This window comes from Homo sapiens, chromosome 16 (assembly GCF_000001405.40).
Source record: "Homo sapiens chromosome 16, GRCh38.p14 Primary Assembly".
Taxonomy (NCBI): domain Eukaryota; kingdom Metazoa; phylum Chordata; class Mammalia; order Primates; family Hominidae; genus Homo; species Homo sapiens.
In genome coordinates this window covers 49,470,684-49,492,304 of record NC_000016.10, presented here as the reverse complement: position 1 = coordinate 49,492,304, position 21,621 = coordinate 49,470,684, and the positions used below count along the sequence as shown (strand labels likewise).

The 21,621-nt window shown below is 48.0% G+C and overlaps 1 protein-coding gene across 15 annotated transcripts in view, besides 1 other annotated feature; it reads left to right on the top strand.

The window, feature by feature from the left end:
* Positions 1 to 4,781, top strand: part of ZNF423 (zinc finger protein 423) — a 371,756-nt gene extending 366,975 nt beyond the window's left edge. For 14 of the 15 annotated variants that reach the window (XM_047433809.1, NM_001379286.1, XM_047433808.1 and 11 more), the window contains one exon: positions 1,001 to 4,781. In XM_047433809.1, the coding sequence (XP_047289765.1) occupies positions 1,001 to 1,030 (30 nt within the window). In that variant the 3' untranslated portion in view covers positions 1,031 to 4,781. The remainder of the gene's footprint in view (positions 1 to 1,000) is intronic. The other variant, NM_001271620.2, reaches the window with a different exon arrangement.
* Positions 7,620 to 7,799: a silencer, noted in NCBI's record as "silent region_7461". NCBI's record gives its function as "represses an Ori minimal core promoter by ATAC-STARR-seq in GM12878 lymphoblastoid cells {active_cell/tissue: GM12878}" and the evidence as "EXISTENCE:reporter gene assay evidence [ECO:0000049][PMID:35858748]".

The window sequence follows — 21,621 nt, the reverse complement described above, 5'->3', positions numbered from 1 at the left end:
CTGTGCGGCCCCAAACAGGGCCACCCTACACCTGGTGGATGTTGCCTCCTTTCTCCAGGTGTCATGAGGTGGAGCACCACCTGAGGCTTTGATGAAATGGGTCTGAATTTGGAACACGAACCACTGAAAAGAAACAAAAAGACGGCTTTCAGATGCCAAATCCCACCCCCAGTCCCAGGCCGCTGGCTCCTGTGAAACAGATCAACCCTGCTGGCCCCCTCTGGCTGGCAGGGGGAGGAAATGCCATTGACTGTAATGAGAGGGAAACATTTGGCCACAGGGTCCCACCTGGGCCCTGGATTCCTAGGTGCATTCGGCCAAACTGCACTGAGTCCCTGTCTCTGGTTGGGCCATTGCCATGTGACCAAGCAGGCAGGCTCCCGGAGCCCAGCAGCAGAGGCTCCTCCCGCGTCTTCCTGCCGGGTGACCTGTCCCCTGCCTGGGCCGCAGGCACCACGGCCGCCCACTGCCTCAGCACGCCTGTGCCCGCTCGGGTGTTTCTTGGCCGGAGAGCTGCACAGCACATCTGCTGTCTCCCTCTGCTAGGCTCGGAGCAGCCACGGGGAAGACTGAGAGGGGGATGCGAGGGCAGCCTGCAGGCGATCAGAGTTTCCTCCTCTTCATTAGAGGAAAAGGGAGATGGAGAGGTGAACAGGGATGTTTTTAATTCCTGCCTCCTCCCCGGCATTTCCCCTTTCCCTCCACCTAGCCAGTCCCCCCGGTAAGACCTGAATGGTCTTTAAAAAAAAAAAAAAAAAAAAAGCCAAAAAACAACATATAGGGAGTCCAAGTTGGCAGTAACAGGAACCTATCCCCAAGCCCCAAATCAACGTGGCGTCTTGGCAGCTGCGTCCCTGGAGCACTTTTTCCTTGTTGCATTTTGTTTTGTTATAATCGAGACGCTTTTCTGCGGCTCCCGGCGTAAATGCACTGAGTGGGAGGGACGAGCATGCTCTCCATTCTTCTCCTTCATGTGTGTCTCCTTTCTTCGCCTTTGCAGAACCACACGATGAGCCAGCACGCACAGTGAGGGATCGCTCAACAGGACACCTCTCCGCAGAAGGCTTGCCGGAGACGCCGTGGGGAGGGCCATTTGAACATTACATCCAATCAAAGTGTCATTTGCAACCCAGATGTAAAACTCTAATGATTTGGCCATGAGGCGCTGCTATTATAAGCAGCTGGAAATGAATATTAATGGCAGAGATTAAAAGTATTCCATGCTCAGTATTTTTTATTGTCCTGCTACAGCTAGTGTGCTTTTAGACTTTCCGCCGCAGACTACATTTCTAGAGTTAGAGAAACCTGCTTTTTAAGGCTATTGTCCTTTGTTCCTTCATGTATTATATTGATAGTTTTTAAAAAAGAATTAGTGTGATTTTTTTTCTTTGCTTCTTTTTTTTCTTTCTTGTTTTTCTTCCCCCCCACCCCCCACCCCCTTCGGTTAACTACTTTTTAATTGCAATTCTAGGTAATTGTGCATCGTGATGTGATTGCTTGGCTATTGTCTGAATATTTCCTTTTAATTTTTTAATTAAAGACTAATGCTTTGATTGGATTTGCCAGTTCACCGGACAGTGATTAAAACTATGTAATGAATATAATCGGTTTCAGTGCAACTGGATGGTCTGCTTTTAAATGTGACTTAATCTGACTGCAGTAACTAGTACAGTTCAATAAAGGGAATCCATGCGATTAGCATCCGGCTGCCTGGTTCTCTCCTCCCCAGCCTAGGGCCGCGTGGGGGGCTGTCAGCTCCTGTAAGGTGTGTTCCCCTACAAGTTCCTGTGGGCTTGCACACGCCCTTGGGGACCTGCACACAATAGACCCTGCTCCCCTTGGAAAAGAATCGTAGTAACCTAATGCATGCAGACTGGACAGGCTGGCAGTGGCCACAGGAGTCAAAGCAGAAGACCCCTTAATGATGGAATACCCTGATCTTCCCACTCTTGGATGGGGAAACAGAGGCCCAAGGGTAACGTGCAGCTTTCCCAAGGCCACGCAGCAGGTTGGTCACCATGCTGATTGTGAAGTCTTCTTGGCTTTCCCTTCAGGGTTGGCTTTCCCCTTTGTTGGATACAGGCAGGCAAGTGGGTAGCCCTTCCCTTGCCAGGACTCCAGGTGGCACTTGGGTTCTGAGGCACGGAGATGTGTGACTGGGGACTGCAGAGCAGAGCCAGGTAGGAGCCGCAGGTTCCCAGTCATAGAGATCAGTAGGATGTGAGAGCATTGAGACTGGTGGCGGGGGCCAGGTCTGGAGTGAGGCAGGCAGGGGCCTGGGGTACATTATTTCAGGGGGCACTCGCTCTCAGGGCCCCCCTACACCTGCAAGTGCTGGGAATGGGTGTCCTCTTGCATTTTACACTCTAGGCACCTTGCTTATTTCACCTACTCCTGGCCCTGCTGGCCTCCCAGGGCCCACCCAGCAGCCTTGGTCTCCAGGCCTCCTCCATGTTACCTCCCACACCTCCATCATGCTGGTGCTCAGCTGACTTGCCAATCAGAGGCCAGAACTTGCACGGGGAAACCCTTCCTTGCTAACTTTTCACAAGGGGCAAGGAAATTGGTTATTACCCTCTGCAGAGCGGAAATGAAACAGGCAGACAGATTGCACCTAATTATAATGTAATACTAAGTCACGGGTGTGGAATTTGGAGCAATTATACCCATCATCTTCTAGAAGACTCCCATATCAAGGGGCTTCTGGTGACCTATAAGAGTTCCCCTTTCTTTCTGTCACCTCATGTAATGTTCTCACGCGGGTGGGGCTTTCAGTTTTTCAAAAGGCATCTTACATATGTGAATCATAGAGCAGACCCTGCCAGTAGTGGGCTGTTGCCTCCTGGAAACTGAAGGCTGTGAATGCCAATTTTCAGCCTCCTGGAGACCTGGCAGTTTTGGGGGAAGACCCCAGGGTAGACACCAGTGTTCCTCTAAGTGTGCCCACCCGTGGACTGGGGCTTGGGGCCTGGGGCTGGGGCTATGTCTGAGTGAGGCTGCCACACATCCACAGCCAGGCCTACCTTTTGGGCAGTGCTGGGACTGTCGATGGGACCAGTATGTCCCGGGGCCTGCCACATCTCCGTCTCAGGGCCCTCTCCAGCTCTGGATTTATCCCAAACCCCATGGAGCCCAGGTGAGCCCTCAGTAACTACCAATAGAAGATTCGATTTGACGGTTGGTGGCGTAGGGCTAAATTAGTCACTGCCCCCATTAAAAATACAGCGGGGGGTTTAAGAGCTTTTCACGCCATGTGGGAATCAGCAGCGAAGCCGGCTGATGCCTTGGGTAAGGAGAGAGGCGGCCTAGGGGACCGTGAGGTAATGAGGTTTATGGCGGTGACAAGGCAGCCAGGGAACCCCACCGACTCCCCCCTCACCCCGGCCGCATTGTTCTCCGGCTGGCTCTGTCCCTGCTGCTACGGCTGAGAGCCCCTCGTGACTTTGTGTGGGGAGGGGGCTGGCAGTGGGGACCCTGAGGCCCTTCCTGGGACTGGCATTCTTTACCATCAGGTGGTATTAGGGTTGGGGAGCAGTGTAGGGTTATAAACCTGTGCCTCGGAGAACTCACTAACCCCTTCCAGAGGAAAGGTCTGGAGCTGGGATGAGACACTTGCCTTTCAACTGTGAGGGGCCTTAGAGGGTCTCTGGGAGGCTTGTATGAAGTGATGCCTGACAAAGGGCTGCACACAGAGACCTGTAAGCAGCATGGTCATCAATGATGGTGCCAGGCATCCTGCAGGAGGGCACCTTTTCAGCCAGGAGGGCGCGATGGAATCAGCCTCTCATTTGGATTTGGCTTTGGGGAGTGGGCGAGGTGACTGAAAGCCTAAGGTTCATTGCTGCTGTATTTAGATGTACAAATTGTCAGTTTCTAGCGGCTCTCTGGGCAGAGGAATTTTGCCCAGGCTGGGAAATGGACCAGGACCCTTGGGCCACAGGCCCCTGTCATGGAACACCTGCCCAGAGTGCCCAGAAGCAGGCAGGTAAGGGTTTCAGTCTCAGTGGAGAAACTGTCATGGGAGAAATCTTCTCGAGTTCCCCAGCCTTAAAGAACGCTCCTTTTAAATTCACAGTTGTGTAATATTGAACTTTTCACCTGTTTTTCTTCCCTCCTAAGGTGTGTGTTCCTAGGGATGGAACCTGTACCTATAAATATTCAGTAAATAGGACCAAAACTCAAATCCATCCCTTCCTCTACTCATCCATTCAGCAAGTATTTACTGAGCTGCCCCCAGGTGCCAGGCACTGCACAGGGCACTGGGGATAAGGAGATGACCAGCAGATGTGGTCCCTGGCCTCATGGAGGCCACAGTGGCACAGGCAAGCATGCCAGTAAATGCATAGCCACACCTGGTCATGAGTGCCGTGATGGCAAAGCCAGAAGCTGCCAGGGATTAATGGAGGGACCCGTGTATGAGACACAGGGGTGCATTAAGGAAGGCCTTGCTGAGGCAGGGGCTTGAGACCTGAAGAAATAAGGGAGGTGGGCAGTCCAAGAGCAGTGGGAAGAGAACACTGCAAATGCAGAAGCCGTGAGCTGGAAACGAGCCAGAAGTACCCTTAGAGAGCTGTATTCCTATGGAGTTTCAATTCTAGGTGGCTTAAAACAATCCCAGAGAAGTTCAGAATCTTGTCCAAGATCATACCATTCAGGATAGACTTGCGACTATAACTTGGGTGCCTCACCTTCCAGCCTGGGGTGTCTGACTCCATTGTTAATTTTATTATAACAATCATGATGACAACGATGAATAAAGTGAAATTGTACTGTACAGGAAAGACTGCTGGTTCTCTTTCTTTTCATTAATAAAGTAACCAATTTATAGCTGAGCAGAGGTTACCTTGGAGAAGGGAAGGGGCAGATTATATATCCTATCCTTCCCAGAAGTTAGGTGTGGTCCTATTGCTATTGGTCGCCATAGGTTCTATCAGTAGGATATAAATAACGGCAGTATGTGCAAATTCTAAGAATTGTCCTGAAAGCGAAGAAATGAGTTCATTCCTCCTATCTGTCTGATGGCTGGAATGTGACTGCAATAGCTGGTGTTCCAGAAGCCATTTGAACCATGAGGTAACTTGACTAACCCAGTAATCACTTCTGGTTCCTGTCTATCATAGCACCTGTGACATGTGGTGTTATGTATTTATTGGTATGGCTTGGAACTTGCCTTTGGAGAAGAGAGAGACACCCTACAAGGATTTATCCCCCATATGCTTGTTACCCTTCAAAGCAAGTCCACGGTGCCACTATTTTACAACTTACAGTTGATTTTGGCTCATTCAGACTTGCCAGGAGAGTGCTCCATGATTATATACCCTGTGCAGTACTCTTGATGTCAGAGAACAGGAGAAAACTCACAACACTCAATAAAGGCTGAATATTTGCAACTCTATCTTGCTTGATCTCTTTCCAAAAGCACCAAATAAAGTACAGTTTGCCATGCATGCCCCTGGCTGTCCTTTCCCTCCATGCCTTTGCTCATGGTGCTTCCTCTTGCTGGAATGCCCTTCCCTTCTCCCGCTCCCTCACCCCAGGTTAACTCCTACTTTTAGACCCAGCTCAGCTGTCTAATTCTTGGGGCCAAGACTTGGGTGAGATCAGTGAAGCACTCCCCTGGGAGCAAAACTTAAGTGGGTGCCAAAAAGCTAAGTAATCCAAATAAACAATATTTTCATGTAATATTTTTAAAATCACATTGGCAGGCTGTAGCCTGCAGGCTGGCAGCCCATTTTTGAAAATAAAGTTTTACTGGAAGCAGGGCTGGGATTGGGATTTGGCAGGTGAGGCGGGATGGCACAAATGTAGCATCAGATTCTGTCTTTACTTAACACTTTGCCATTTTTTTCCATCATTTTTTACATTAATTTTTATTTTCAGAAACATGAAAGTATTACTCTGGCTTTTTGTTTGTTTGTTTGTTTTGTATTCACTTAAATTTTGGTCCCAAAGGAAGTGCCTCATTCATCTCACCCTAGTCTTGGCCCAGTTTATTCTTCAGGCCACTTTGACCCCCGCAGCTAAGTAAAATGCTCTCATAATAAGAACGCTGATACTACCTGGTGTGTAAGTCCATCCCTGGGCATGCACAGTACTGCCTTTTATACCTATTTGTCTGTGGGACTGTCTGTCAGTCAGGACAGGCTAGGATATGGCACATTAACAAAAGGACCCAAATTCTCATGGTTTAACACAACAAAGATTTCTTTCTGACTCATATTCCATAGCCATCTTGGATACCCAGGGGGCTTCCTTAACACATCAAGGTCACTCAGAAGTTAGGATCAGGGAGCAGCCACCCCCTTAAATATGGTCAGCAACCAAGCAGAGAGAGAGAGAGAGAACTGGCAGTTCAGTGCTCTTGCCTGGGACTTACACAAATACAGAGCTCTTAGACTCACAATGCATTGGCCAGCAATTGTCACATGGCCCCATTCTATCACAGGGCCAGGAAGTGCAATCCTGCCCTGTGCCTGGAAGAAGTGAGAATCAGCAAGGCTTGGAACACTGCACTAATGACTACCCAAGCTGTCCCCACCTTCCACCCACCTGTCTCTGACTATCTTTGAGGGCAGAGCCTGACTCTTAGTAAATGCCCTTATATCCAGCACCCTACATAGGATCTGGAGCAGATAAGATATTTACTAAATGAATGCAGATATTGCGTATGAAAGTGAATCCATGACAATTTAAAAGGTCTAGGGGAAGATAAGCATGTATATGAAGACAACTTGTAGCCTAAGCTCTGCGGACTATGATACCTGGATTCAGACCTCAGCTCTATCACTTACTAGCGGTGTGACCTCAAATAAAGCCCTTAACTTCTCTGAGCCTCAGTGTTTTCATTGGTAAATGGGAAAAATAAAAAATAATACTTATCTCACAAAGTTGTGAAATTAAAATAAGAATGACGGTGACGTTTAATAACATTATTGGTGCCTGGTATTCTCCTAGGCACCGTGTATTAACTCCCCTAATCCACACAATAACTAACGTTATCACGTGGGTACTGTTATCTCTTTTTTACAACTGAGGAAACTAAGGCAAAGAGATGCTAACTTGCCCAATGCTCAGATTCTAATGCTGGCAGTCCGGTTCCAAAGCCCTGTTCCCAGCCCCAAGAAGCCCTTGAGCAGAGCACATAAGAAATGGCTAGCTCCAGGCCGGGCACAGTGGCCCATGCCTGTAATCCCAGCACTTTGGGAGGTCTAGATGGGGGGATCACTTGAGGCCAGGAGTCGGAGACCAGTGCGGACAACATAGCGAGACCCTGTCTCTACAAATAATAATAATAATAATAAAAATCAGCCATGCGTGGTGCCCTGCCTGTAATCCCAGCTACTTGGGAGACTGAGGCAGAGTATCACTCGAGCCCAGGAGTTCCAGGCTGTAGTGAGTTGTGACTGAACCACTGCACTCCAGCCTGGATGACACAGCGAAGCCCTGTCTCGAAAGAAGAAAGAAAGAAAGAGAAAGAGAAGGAAGGAAGGAGGGAAGGAAGGAAGGGAGGGAAGGAGGGAGGGAGGGAAGGGAGGGAGGGAAGGAGAGAAGGAGAGAAGTGGTTAGCTCCTGATACTCTCATCACTGGGGTTGGTTCCAGGTGATAGTCCACTGGGGTCAGCCTCTACTTGGACTGCTCCTAGCTGGGCGGATCCTTGACCTGCCTGAGCCGGGACAGCGCCGGGGCGGCCCCAGCCTGGGGTTGGTGCGCGGCCGGCCCGCCCCTTCCCTCCCCTGAGCCCTGATTGGCCCGCATCGGGCCGGCCCCACCCACCTGGGGGCCGCGGGCTGAGTGCGCTGCGAGCGGCTTGGTGTTACCTTATTTGTGGAGTTATTAATTACTGAAGGGCGCAAACCGTGCTTCTATGCATAAAAATATGTTTGAGCAGTTTCTACTTAAACTTTAAAGAGAACGTTAATCAATTTTATTTTAACAAAATGACCTTAAGCAGGGGAAAAAAAAATTGGTGTTATTTGCCCAAACAGGCAAATTAATTTCTCTCTCTTGAGAAATCTGAGAAGTTTCCAGAAATAGCTATGCATAATTTACACCTGCCCTGGCCGCTTCTAGTTTCACGCCAAGCCCAGTCACGGGCCCCACACCGCTCCAGCCCCAGCAAGAACTGCAAACGAGGGTCCCTGCAAAAGTCCTGCCACCCAGAAGCCGACTCATTTTACGACCTTGGGAAGAGGATAAGAGGGGAAGGGGCCGTGTCGTATCTGAAAGCCCAGCCCAGCTTGGGTCAAGGTCACTGGCGGAAGAGGGGCGCCTGCCCAGTTCTTTGGCCTGGCATTTTCGGGAGGCCTAGAGACAGTTCCCAGCGAAGGACCATCCTCCAGCCTGCCGGCTGGGTCCTGAAGCATGTGGCCTGCGGCCCCCTGCTTTGCCCTCCCCTCCACCAGCCCCTACCCTTGGGGGTTTCCGGGATGTCAGAGTCTCCAGAACATTCTGCAGCGTCCGTGTGGTCTTCCAAACTCCTGCCCCTCTGGCTCTCCACACCTCTGGTGCTTCCCATCCAATTGGGCGGTCCCTTACCCATGCAGTCGCCTTGAGAGTGGGGTTTACAGTCAGGGCACTGGGGCTGCTGGAACTGTGGTCAGTTTCCAGTTGGGCCTTTCAGTAGCATTGTGACTTCTGCCTGGCCACTGGACCTCCCTGGACTTGGGTTTCTCTCCCTGCACTTCTGAGGGATGACATGACCATTGATTCAAAACAGACAACCCCAGAAATACTGAGAGAGAATTTCAGAGCCACCGATGGTAACCCCTGCATCACCCGAGCAAGCACGGACCAGGGCCTTGCTGTGTGTTTCTCATGCAGAGCCACGGGCGCTGGGCTGGGCATCCATGCTCTTCTCTGTCATCATTTCCCCCTGTGACTCTGGGCAAGCCCCTTTCCTACTCAGGGCCTCGGTTTCCTCGTCTGTGAAATGAGTGTTTAATCACAGCTGTCTGAGATGATCTTAGCTTTAGAGCTTTCTGTGCGAATGAGGCTTCCTTGGGAGGCCTGGATCTGCGATGGGGCTCATGGGTGGCTTCTGAATCTGTAACTGGGGAGAAGGATGTCTGCACCCTGAACTGTGGAGGGGATATGAGGATGTGCTGCACTTGGCAACACTTTGTGGCACACTGAGCACCCGAAGGACAGTTTTATTAGCTGATGGCTTTTAAAGTCTCATAGAAAACAGAAAAGAAAATCAGCTCTGAGAATACAACGAGGACATTACCCTGGCCCTACTGTCTTCTTAACGAAGTAAGAGCTCTGATCGGCCTCCTTGAAGGAGAACTGCCTGCCCTGACAGCCTGAGGACTCCTGGCTGGGTTCCCAGGTGCCCCCTGGCCACCCTGTCTCCAGGCACCGTGGGTTTGCCTTGCCTCCTGACATCTCTGTCTATAATTACATTTCTCCTCTCCTGGGCCCAAACAGATCCTACAGCTCCTTCGGGGTTCAGCTCAAGAGCCACCACCTTCAGGCAACCCCCTGCCCTCCCGCGATTTCCCCTCAGGTGCTTCCTGGGTTTGTTCTTGCTCCTAAATCTTCACAGCACCCAGCACAGTGCAAGGTACACCGTGCTGCTCTGCTAATTTCTGAGTCCTGGCACTCCCAGACACTTATTCCTCATGATCTTTGTCCTTGTTTGACAGTGAGGGAAGCTGGGGTCACCTCTACCAGCTAGAGGGTGGTAAAGTTGAGATGGGAAAGCAGGTGATGTGTCTGTTAAGGCTGGGCTCCTATGTTCTGTGCTACTCTGGACTGAGCAGCCAGGAAAACCATGTGGATGTTGATATTTAAAACAAAGTTAAATAATAAAAGAAAAAAGTGTAAACTGCTTAGAAGGATATAAAATAAAAAATCACTAAAAACCAACTGTCCCTCTTACACTCTTCCCAGTCTCTTTCTGTCCAAAGATAGTCTGTGCACATACATACATTTCCATATAGTTCTTTCCTTTTTTTCATAAAATCTATGTTATTCTGTGAATTACTCTATGATTTTTCATTCTCTTATAAATATTCCATTTCTTTTCATGTGAGCACTCACAGATCTTGCTCTTTTTGAGGAGTTTTTCAATTATGAATCCAACTTCCTTAATAGTATAAGTTATATGTAAGGCTACTTAAACTTAAAATATGATCTATGTCATATTGGGTAAGTTGTGGTAATTTGTTTTCCAAGAAATTGGGTAATATAATCTAATTTGTCAAATGTATGCATGTAGAGTTGTTCATCCTATTCCTTTATTATCCTTTTGGTATCTGTGGGTCTGTAGTGATATCCGCTATTTCATTCTTGATATTGGTACTTTGTGTTTTCTCTCTTTTTCTTTGTCAGTCCTGTTAGATGTTCTTCCATTTTATTGATCTTTTCAAAGAACCAACTCTTTGTTTCAGTGATTTTTCTCCGTTGGTTTTCTGTTTCAATTTCATTGACTTCTGCTCTTTATTTTTTCCCTTGCCTCTGCTTGCTTGGGATGTATTTTGCTCTTGTTTCTCTAGGTTCTTGAGGGGGGAACTTAAATGACTGATTTAACACTTTCTCTTTTTTGTAATATATACACTTAGTGCTATAAACTTCTCTCTCAGCACTGCATTGGCTGTGTCCCAAAATGTTTGATACAGTGTATTGTCATTTTCAGTCAGTTCAATGTATTTGTAAATTTATCCTGAGACTTTGTTTTTGACCCGTGGATTTAGAATTGTGTTGTTTAGTTTCTATGTTTTTGGTGACTTTTCGTTATCTTTCTGTTATTGATTTCTAGTTTGATTCCACTGTGGTTGAAGAACACACTCTATGATTTCAATTCTTTTAAATTTGTTGAGATTTATGTTTTATGGTCTATGATATAGTGTATCATGGTGTATGTTCCATGGGCCTTTGAAACATGTGTATTCTGCTGTTGTTGGGTGGCATGTTCTATAGATGTCTATTAGATCCTGTAAATTGGTGGTATTGTTGAGTTCTGTATACTTACTGGTTTTCTAATTGTTCTATCAATTGTCCAGAGAAGGTTGTTAAAGTGTCCAAATATAATTGTGGATATGTCTATTTCTTCTTTCAGTTCCGTCATTTACATATTTTTCAGCTCTGTTGTTTGGTGCATACATATTTAGGATTGCTGTATCTTCTTGGTAAATCCATCCTTTCATCATTATGTAAGATCCCTCTTTGTCTTTTTAGTTTTCTTTGCTCTGAAGTCTACTTTATCTAATGCTAACATAGCCACCATGTTTTCTTTCAATTAATGTTTACATGATAGATCTTTCTCCTTCCTTTTATTTTCAAACTGTTTATATTATTATATTTGAAGTGAATGTCTTGTAAACACTATAGAGTTGGATTATCTATTCTGCCAATCTCTTTTAGTTGCTGTGTTAGTTATATTTAATGTAATTATTGGCATGTTGGGACTTAAGTTTGCTATTTTATATTTTTTCTGTTCTATTTTTTTAATTCCTCTGATTTCCTTTTTCTGCCTTGGACATTTTTTAGAATTTCATTTTGGTTTATTTACACTGTTTTGGATATATCTCCTTCTATAGCATTTCTAGTGGTTGCTGTAGATATTACTATATATGTGTGTGTGTATATATATGTGTATATATATATATATATGGCATATTAAAATCTCCTGGTTTCATCATCTTACCAGTTCAAGTGAAGTATAGAAAAGTTGCCCCAGGCAGGGCACAGTGGCTCATGCCTGTAATCCCAACACTTTGGGAGGCCGAGGCAGATGGATCACCTGAAGTCAGGAGTTTAAGACCAGCCTGGCCAACGTGGTGAAACCTGTCTCTACTAAAAATACAAAAATTAACCGGACGTGGTGGCGCATGTCTGTAATCCCAACTACTCAGGAGGCTGAGGCAGGAGAATCATTTGAACCCAGGAGGCAGAGGTTGCAGTGAGCCAAGATTGCACCGCTGCACTCCAGCCCAGGCACAAGGGTGAGACTCTGTCTCAAAAAAAAAAGTTGCCTCACTTTATATCAATTTACCCTCCCCTTATATATAAGTTATATTTATAATATAATTGTCTTAAATACTCTCCTACACACATTTAGAATCACATTAGACCGTGTTAAATATTTTGCTTCGGCCATTAAGCATAATTTTAAAAACTCAAGAGGAGACAGAAACTCTATTGTATTACCCATATTTTTGCTTACTGTGTTCTTTCTCCCTTCCTAATGTTCCAGATCTTTTCTTTTATCATTTTCTTATGTTTAGAGAACTTCATTTTGCCATGTTTTAGGGCAAAAGTTCAGCCCTAACAAGAGCAGCTCACTACAGATTTTCTTAGTTTTTCCTCCTCTGAGGATATCTTGGTTTCCCTTTAATTCCTGAAGGATATTTTCACTGGATATAGGTTTCTGATGACAGTTTTTTTTTTCTTTCAGCACTTGAAAAATGTTGTGCCACTTTCTTCTAACTCCTGTGATTTCTGATGAGAAATCCACTTTCATTTGAATTGTTTTTCCCCCTCTAGGTAAATGTCATTTCTCTTTTGCTGCTTGGAAGACTTTTCCTTTGTCTTTAGTTATCAGAAATTTGACTGTAATGTGTCTTGGGTGTGGATTTCTTTGGGTTTTATTCTGTTTGAGATTTACTCAGCTTCTTGAATCTATAGGTATATGTTTTTTGCCAAAATTGGGATTTTTGTTTAGACAGTATTTCTTCAAGTATTTTATTGGTTCTACTCTCTTTCTCCTCTGTTTTTATTTTTATTTTATTTTATTTTATTTTATTATTTTATTTTATTTTTTTGAGACAGAGTCTTGCTCTGTCGCCCAGGCTGGAGTGCAGTGGCGCGATCTCAGCTCACTGCAAGCTCCGCCTCCTGGGTTCACACCATTCTCCTGCCTCAGCCTCCTGAGTAGCTGGGACTACAGGTGCCCACCATCATGCCCGGCTAATTTTTTTAAATTTATTTTTATTTTTAGTAGAGACGGGGTTTCACCATGTTAGCCAGGAAGGTCTCAATCTCCTGACCTTGTGATCCACCCGCCTCAGCCTCCCACAGTGCTGGGATTACAGGCATGAGCCACCACGCCCTAACTCTTTCTCCTCTTTTTCCATAATTCCAATGACACTAATGTTAGAGGGTTTTTTTTGTTGTTGTTATAGTCTCACAGTTTCCTAAGGTTCTGTTTAATTTTTTCCCGGTTTATTTGTTCTTTTTAAATTAAGATTGTTAATAGTTGGGCAGAAACATAAATACAAAAAAAAAAGATTGGATAATTTCTATTATTCTATCTTCTAGTTCACAAATTTTTTTCCTGTTCCCTCCATTTTGCTGTTGAGCCTGTTGATTTAATTTTTTTTAAGTTATGGAATTTTTCAGTTCTAAAATATCCACTTGGTATTTTTTGATACCTTCTATTTCTGTGCTGAGACTTTCTATTTTTTCCTTTGTTTCAGGCAAGTGTGTAGTTGCTTGTTAAAGCATTTTTATGGTTGCTGCTTTAAAACCCTTGCCAGGCATTTCTAGCATCTCTGTCATTTCACTTTCAGCATCTGTGGATTTTCTTTTTTCATTCTGTTTGACAGCTTCCTGGATTTTGGTATGACAACTGATCCCTTGTTGAAACTTTTACATTTTGTATATTATGTTATGAAACCCTGGGTCTTATTTAAACCTTTTCTTTCTCCTGTAATACCTCCCCAGAAGGAAAAGATAGTAGGCAGGGAGGGGTCTCACTGCCTCCTTAATGCCAGATGGGAGTAGAATCCCAATTTCCCCACTAAGCCACCATTAACACCTTAGGTGGGGGGCTCATTACTATAGCTGGGTGGGGGTGGGAGCTCTAGCTCCCCACTAGGTCTTCACTGATATGTCCCTGGCTGGGAGGGGTAGGAGTGCCTAGTTGCTGGTTCCCAAGTAGTCTTCACTGATACCACAGAGGGGCAGGTGACCTTGTTACAACTGGGCAGCGGCAAAAGTCTTGCCTCTACAGCCCACTTCCTCTGATACCATCCCCGTGGGGACAGGGGCAGGGGTGCCTTAATACTACTGAATGGGTAGTGGAAATTCAGGCTCCCCTGGGACTGTAGATGACGGCAGTGGGCCTTGTCATTGCACAGCAAGGATGAAAATTCTAGGTTCCTGTTTGGCCTTCTCTGATTTCCCACCCTGGTGAAGAGCATTGAGGAGTCTCATTATAGATTGGTGAGAATGAAAGCACTGTGCAGTGGAGCCAGTTTTTTCTGTGGCATTTAGCTGGAGAAGCATTGTTATTGTCTAAGAGATTTTGTTTTGCTAGGCTGATTCTTCACTGGTTCTTTGGCTAAAGAAAGCAGACATTTGATGGGGCTTTTTGGCCTATGCACATTGGTGTTTCCATGTTGCTGGCCCTTTCTGGGACATATGATGCAAAAAGGAACCCACCATCATGTTGTTCCTTAGGTCTGGAGGTTTCTAGTCAGTCTTGTCTCTTCACTTTTTGGCAGCTTCTTCTTCTTCTTCTTCATCTTCTTCTTCTTCTACTTCTTCTTCTTCCTCTTCTTCCTCCTCTTCTTCTTTTCTTCCTCTTCTTCCTCTTCTTCCTTCCTCCTCCTCCTCTTCCTCCTTCTCCTCCTTCTTCTTCTTCCTCTTCTTCTTCTTCCTGTTCTTCCTTCCTCCTCCTCCTCTTCCTCATCCTCCCCCTCCTTCTTCTCCTTCTTCTTCTTCTTCTCCTTCTTCCCTCCTCCTCCTCTTCCTTCTTCTTCTTCCTCTTCTTCCTTCCTCCTCCTCCTCTTCCTCCTCCTCCTCCTTCTTCTTCTCTTCCTTCTTTCTTCCTCCTTTCCTCATCCTCCTCTTCCTCCTTCTCCTCCTTCTTCTTTTCTTCCTCCTTCTTTCTCCTCCTCCTCCTTCTTATTCTTCTCCCTCTTCCTTTTCCCTTCCTCCTCCTCTTCCTCTTTCTCCTCCTCTTCCTCTCCCTCCTCCTTCCCCTCCTCCCCCTCCTCCTTCCCCTCCTCCCCCTCCTCCCCCTCCTCCTTCCCCTCCTCCCCCTCCTCCTTCCCCTCCTCCCCCTCCTCCTTCCCCTCCTCCTCCCCCTCCTCCTTCCCCTCCTCCTCCCCCTCCTCCTTCCCCTCCTTCTCCTCCTCCTCCTCTTCCTCTTTCTTTTTCCTTCTTTCCTCCTTCTCCTTCTCCCCCTTCCCCTCCCCCTCCCCCTTCCGCTCACCCTCCTCCTCCTCCTTTTTCTTCTTCTCTTCTTCCTTTCTTCCTCCTTCTTTCCTCCTCGTCTTCCTCCTCCTCCTCCTCACCCTCCTCCTCCTCCTTCTTCTTCTTCATCTCCTTTTAAAAATATTTACTGTCCAAGGGTTTTAGTTATACTTAGCAGGAAAAGTAGGGAAAATATGTCTACTCAATCTTGCTGAAAGCAGAAGTCTCTCCAGATCTTGTTTTATTATAATGGCCACAATACATCTCATTGGCTGAATGAGTCATAATTGATTGACTTCATTTATGTGTTGTAAACAATGCTGCAGTGAACATCTTTGTGCCTAGATCTTTGGGTCCTTGTATGTATGTATAACACTTCATGGATTTGTAACTGAGCAGATTGAATTTCACTTAGTAATTTGATTCTTGGGGTAGAAGATTTTGGTGAAAAAAGAAGAGAAAAATGGTGGAGGGAGTTGGACTGGGACTGACCAGGGAGAGCATGCATCAAGCCCTGCAGCAAGTAGACTGCCTCAGTTTCTGTCAGAGTGTTGCACAGATCTCTGGAAAATTCTTGATGAGTCTTGGTGCAGCCTCACCCTATGTCTAGGAGATGGCACCTTGTGACTGCTATCTTTCAGGCTTATTCCCTGAGATCAGAAAAGAGGCCAGCATGTGAGAATATGCACCCTTCTCCCTGCCAGCAGCTCTTGTCCCAACAGGGACAGCCGTGGTAAGGGCTGAGGGATGTCCTCCTGTGGATCCATCATTCTTCCCTCAGGATAAGGATCCAGCTTGGTTCATTCCCATTGTAAGGGCACTCCCCTAACTGCACCATAGCACACAACACACTTTATACATGTTATCTGCTTTGGAGCTCCCTGCCATGCAGGAAGGCAGGCTCAGAGAGGTCAAGTGACTCCTCCAAGGTCACACACCAGGGAAGACACCTGCAGAACTCAGTCTCTGCTGATCTGATTCTGAGCACGAAGTCAGTAGAGGAGTTCAGGGCCCAACGTGACATTCTGGAAAGGGGCACATAGAAAAAAAGACCACCCAGAGGGCCACCTAGGTCTAGGCCTGGCCAAGGGAGAAGTCCTGAAGGAAGAGATGGGGAGGGAAGGGAGGAGAGAGGAAGAGGTGCCCACTTTTACCTGGTCCCTGGCAAAAGAAGATGGAGCAAGTGGAATTATTAATACTTGGGGACGTGGCAGTCCCCAAGAGGGCCTGCTGAACTGTGTCATACAGCAGTACGAATGCCAGAGGAATTTCAACCAGTCCACTCTTACTGGGGTCTGAAAAACATTACTTGTCACTAGAAGCAAAATTGCTTTTAGCAGCCATGACAAAGATGGGCAGGCACACAGAGGCACATGTGGAGAGACACATCCAGGCCCACACAGACACACAGCCCAGACACAGCCAGACACGCACGCACATAATAGCCTGGAGCTGTACCACAGACATGAATACCTACACACACATCATACACACACAGAGAGGTGCACACACATGCAGAGATAGACACACACATGCCACACAGACAACAGAGAGGAACACACACAGCAGGTAGACACGCACACACGCTGCACAGACAACGGAGAGGTGCCCGAGCACAGAGAAGATAGACACACACACACACATATACACTCCATACGGACAAGAGAGAGGCATACACACACACAGCAAGTGACACACACATGATATACACACTCACTGCATGGGCAACAGAGAGGTACACACTCACAGAAGAGAAACACACACACGCCACACAGACAACAGAGAAGTACACACACAGCACTGACAACAGAGAGGTGTACATTCACAGCAGAGACACACACACACCACACAGACAACAGAGAGGCGCACACACAGCAGATAGACACACATTGCACGGACTACAGAGGGGTGCACACTCATACACAGCAGACACACACACGAGCACACACCAGGCAGATATGCATGAGCTGCCCGCCTGGACACACACAGGTACACACAGAGACAGGCTGCACGAACACACATGCATACACGTGCACACACCCGCGCACACCCACATAGCGGCATATGGAGCAACCCTGCCTCCCCCACGGTTTCCAGGAGGCTCAGCGGGGGGCGCGAGTTCCACATCTGACTTTCCTTGTGTTCGTTAGACTGTCAGTGTAATTAAATGTTACATTGAATAATCCAGCGTGCTCAGTGTAGGCAGAGGCAGCTGTGGAGGGCTGGCGGATGTGGGACTGGATGCCCATCCCAGTCTGGCACCCTCCTTGCCCCTTCATCCCCTCCAGCCACCCCCTTGCCACAGACTCTGGAGCTGTGTGGACAAGGAACCCCTGGCCAAAGCATCACCAAGAGCAGAGCAGCTGTCAGAGCTGCCCCTTCTAACAGGCTGGGAAGGATGCAGGTTCCCAGGGGAATGAGTGCCCAGAAAGCCCTGGCTGGTCCTGGGGCTGAGCTGCCACTCACCTCCTGCTCTTACTGGGAGTGATTCCCACCTGGAGCTCACAGGCAGAGGTGGCATCTGGATGCTGGGAACTTTTCTGTCCAGCAGAACAGGCGCCTTTCACACCTCACCTGGGAAGAAGAGGCAAGAAGTTGGTTCTATCTCCTCCTCTGTTCTTTTAAATGAGTTTGCAAACTCCCTTAGCCTCTGTGGGAGGCAGCCCAGGGTGGTGGTCACGAACCACCCGCACCAAGTTCACTATGTGACTTGCAGTGAATTAATTCACCTCTGAGGGCCTCAGTGTCTCAATGGGTAAAATGTGATAATACTGATACTCACCTCATGGGATTGTTGAGTGGATTAAGTAAGCCCTTAAAACAGCATCCGTCCCCTCTTGGAGCCCCAATTTCCTCACCTGTGCAGTGGGGTTGATTAACATTCTGGCCTGGCAGGGCAGAGAATGAAATAGTCCACTGCAGGGGAAGGAAACTGATAAACTGTTGGGTGCCGTATGCAGTGAACAGCTTGGCCTCCTCTTCTCTGCCCTTCTTGTTCTGACCTCCTTTCCGGCCCTTGAGCCATAGCTCTCCTCCCATCTCCAGCCTGCTCCAGGGAGCGCAGAGACAGGGTCAACACAGTCGGACCCCTTTGTGTCTGTCGCCTGGAAGGGATGTAGGTTGCTTGTCCTGGTAGTGAGGGCCTGGTGTAGACAGCACAGTGTGGAGCTGGGGTGCCCAGGGTGATTTCACCATGGCCAGCCTCTTTCTGGTGTGGATTTATGAAATGAGTGCCAGCCTCTGGAATATGCCAGCTGGGCAGTAGGCAGGGTGTGCTGAGGATAAGCCACCAGGGAGGTGATGTGGCCTCTGCCTGTTCCAGGAGGGGCCACCTTGGAGGCAGAGTGGCTGGAAAAGAACTCGGAGTCCAGGACCTCACTTGAAGCCAGCTCCCCCTTCCCCTATCTGCCATTGTCACTGGGGCTCCCAGAGGCGGGTAAGCCCAGAGCATGAACCCTTTGTGTGCACACACACTGGTGCATGCTCAAACCTCCATGTACCCATGGGCACAAATATGGGCAAGAGCCAGAACATACCAGATAGGCTCCTGGATTCTCACATGCAAACCCAAAAGGACCCACCTGGAAAGATGGTCAAGTACATGCATGCCCACGGAGACACAGCTGGATTCCAGCACATCACATGTAGAAAAGCATGCTCACTAGACATGCACAACTGTGTGCACGCATGCAAGGGACATGCATAGCACCGAGCCACACCACTGCTGGGCCTTTCATTGCTTCAGAGAGACATGCCACTTTGCCTCCTGTCCCATGTAATCCCCAAAACCATCCTGTCACTCTGTCTTATGAGGGGCTTACAGAAGCCAGTGGACTGTGCAAAGCCATGTCACTGTTGCATAGTCCAGCTGGGTGGGTTCCCAGGCCAGTACTCTTTGCAGCTTCTCATGGGAAGAGGCCTCCTGGCTCCCCTCCCCTGGTCTCCTGCAGAGGCCGAGCCACCAGGGATGGCTGGAGAAGGGGGCGCCTCTGAGAAGAAACCATGACTTTCGAAGGATGTTTTAAACATGGAGCGTGCCCTGGTTGCCTCCCCCATCACCCCAGACTCTGAGCTATGCAAAGGCAGCTCCTGAATATTCAGGACCCCATAGACACTCTTCTCTGGTTCTTCCTCCACTCCTCATTTTGTGCTGAGTCTTAAGTGAAATTGATCTTTTTTTTTTCCTAGGAAAGGGAAATCTGTCTTTTGTTCCCCTACTCCCCTAGGGGCCTCTCAGAAGAGGACGCTCCCCACCAGTTTGAGGGGCATGCCTCAGAACCAATCGCTGCCTGGCACGGCTCCCTGGGTGAGGGGCTTGGGCGCAGTGCCATATGAGCAGATGGCCGTGATTGCTGGCAACCCGGAGACCCTGCAGGAGAGTCGCGTATGGGTGTTTACAGCATCCTGGTCCCGCCGCGAGCATCAAAATGGCAGACCAAGTGGTGCCCAGCCCATCCAGGGTGGGGTAGGGGCAGCTCGCTTTCCTGAGAAAGGAGAAGGAGGTCCCCTTCTTCTCCTAAGGAGAGTCCTGCCCAGCGCCCAGTGCCTAGTGTGGGGTCACATGTAGGGAAGAGCAAACCCTTGATTCTGGGGTAATAGTCCTCCCTAGTCCTCCATCTTCCTCCCCTCCTGTCTTCGAGCACTGTCCCTGCAGATCCCCAAGGTCCCTTGTTCTCTGAGCTAGTCCCCAAGAGAACCTGCATTCATTCACCAATTCATTTGGAAAATAGATATGAGCACCTACTGTGTGTTCAATGAATGAAGAGCAAGCTAGAGGCCTGCAAAGCCTCTCTCCTTTCCTTCCAAGCCCTCTTTGGCTTAGAATGTGTGTGTTCAGTGGACAAATGCCTATCTCTATTATCATACTGAACTCTAAGGGCAGGGGCCTGGCACATAATAGGTGCTCAATAAATATTTGTTGAATGATGTGGGGGACCTTGCCCCAAAGAGATTACAGGCTGGTGGGAATGTGCTCCCTCTCCCTCTCTTCCCTCCCTCTCCCTGTTTTATCCTGTGCTCTATTCTCTGCCCAATTAAATGAAAGCTCCCTAAGGGCAGAAGCCATGGCTGGTGCACCCATCCCCCTAGATTGCTGACCACATGGTGGCTGCCTGTTATATAGATCATGAGGCTGATGTGGAAATGAGGTGCCTGAAGGGGCCACAGAACTGCCTGGAATGCTGTTCCCAGAGAAATTGTCAGGAAAGCAAATCTGACCCATTCCTCTCCTGCCCATAGCTCATGGAAAGGTTCCATTCCTGCTCCTTAGACTGACATTCAAGGCTCCCTCATTGTCTAGAGCCTCACATCCTTCCTTTTTCCCCTTTCATTCATTCAAAAGTATGCATTGAACACTGCTGTGTGCCAAGTCCTACCCAGGGGCTGAGGACAAGACAATGAATAAAATACACAAAGTTACAGTTCTCAGGGAGCTGATATTCTATTGGAGCTATTCCATTGGGGTGGACTGGAGACAAGGGGCGAATAAATGGATGAATGTGTTCTATGCCAGGAGGAAATTAGTGCTTTGGAGAAGGACGAGGCAGGGTAAGCTGGAAGGGGAAATAATGGGTGTGGGCAGGAACAGCTTCTAGGACATTTGAGAAGAAATCTGAATGAAATGTGCAGCGAACTATGTGGCCATCCAGGAGAAGAGCATTCTGAGTGGAGGGAATGGCCGGGTGCGGTGGCTCAGGCCTGTTATCCTAGCACTTTGGGAGGCCGAGATGGGAGGATCGCTTGAGGCTGGGAGTTCAAAACCAGCCTAAGCAACAAAGGGAGACCCCCTATCTCTATTAAAACAAAACACAGGTGAAGGGAACAGCAAGTGCAAAAGCTCTAAGGTGCAAATGGCCTGGCTTTTCTGGCCCTCAGCCACTGCAGCAAGCCAGGGTCATGAATTCCAACACCCATGGCTTCAGGCAATAAGAACGAATGAGGTGAACCAGGTACAACCATGATGACAAATGCGCCCTACACTCAATGCCTGTGAGGGAGGTGATAAGGAGTGGTGGGGACTGTGGGCGACAAGGCAGGTCTGTAGCAGGCAGCTGGCTGGTGACATGGGAATGCCAGCCTGGAGTAGCCAGCGCTTCTAATATTTCAAGCCAAGCTACAAACCTCTATCTTTTAAAACGTGAAATCCTCCAACTTTGAAATGTTGGCAGCTAATTTAAAAATGGCATTAAAAACACTCCGCTCTGGCTACTCAAAACTCAGTGACAGATCGGATCCAGCCTGCGAACAGTTCATGGCTTTGGAATCAGCTCTGAGGTCCCTGCAGGGCATGATTCTGAAGTGTTGGTTCCATTCCCAGTGGACAGCCAGAGGGGGCCATGAAGTCTTCAGTGGTGAGAATTTGGGCAGAGCTGAGGGATCTGAAATCTGAGGCTTTAGCCTCAGGGGCCTTGAGGGCTGGTCCAAACCCCTGTCTCCCAGGAGCCTCCTCTCCCAGGCCTGTCCCAGTGAGAGCAAAGGCT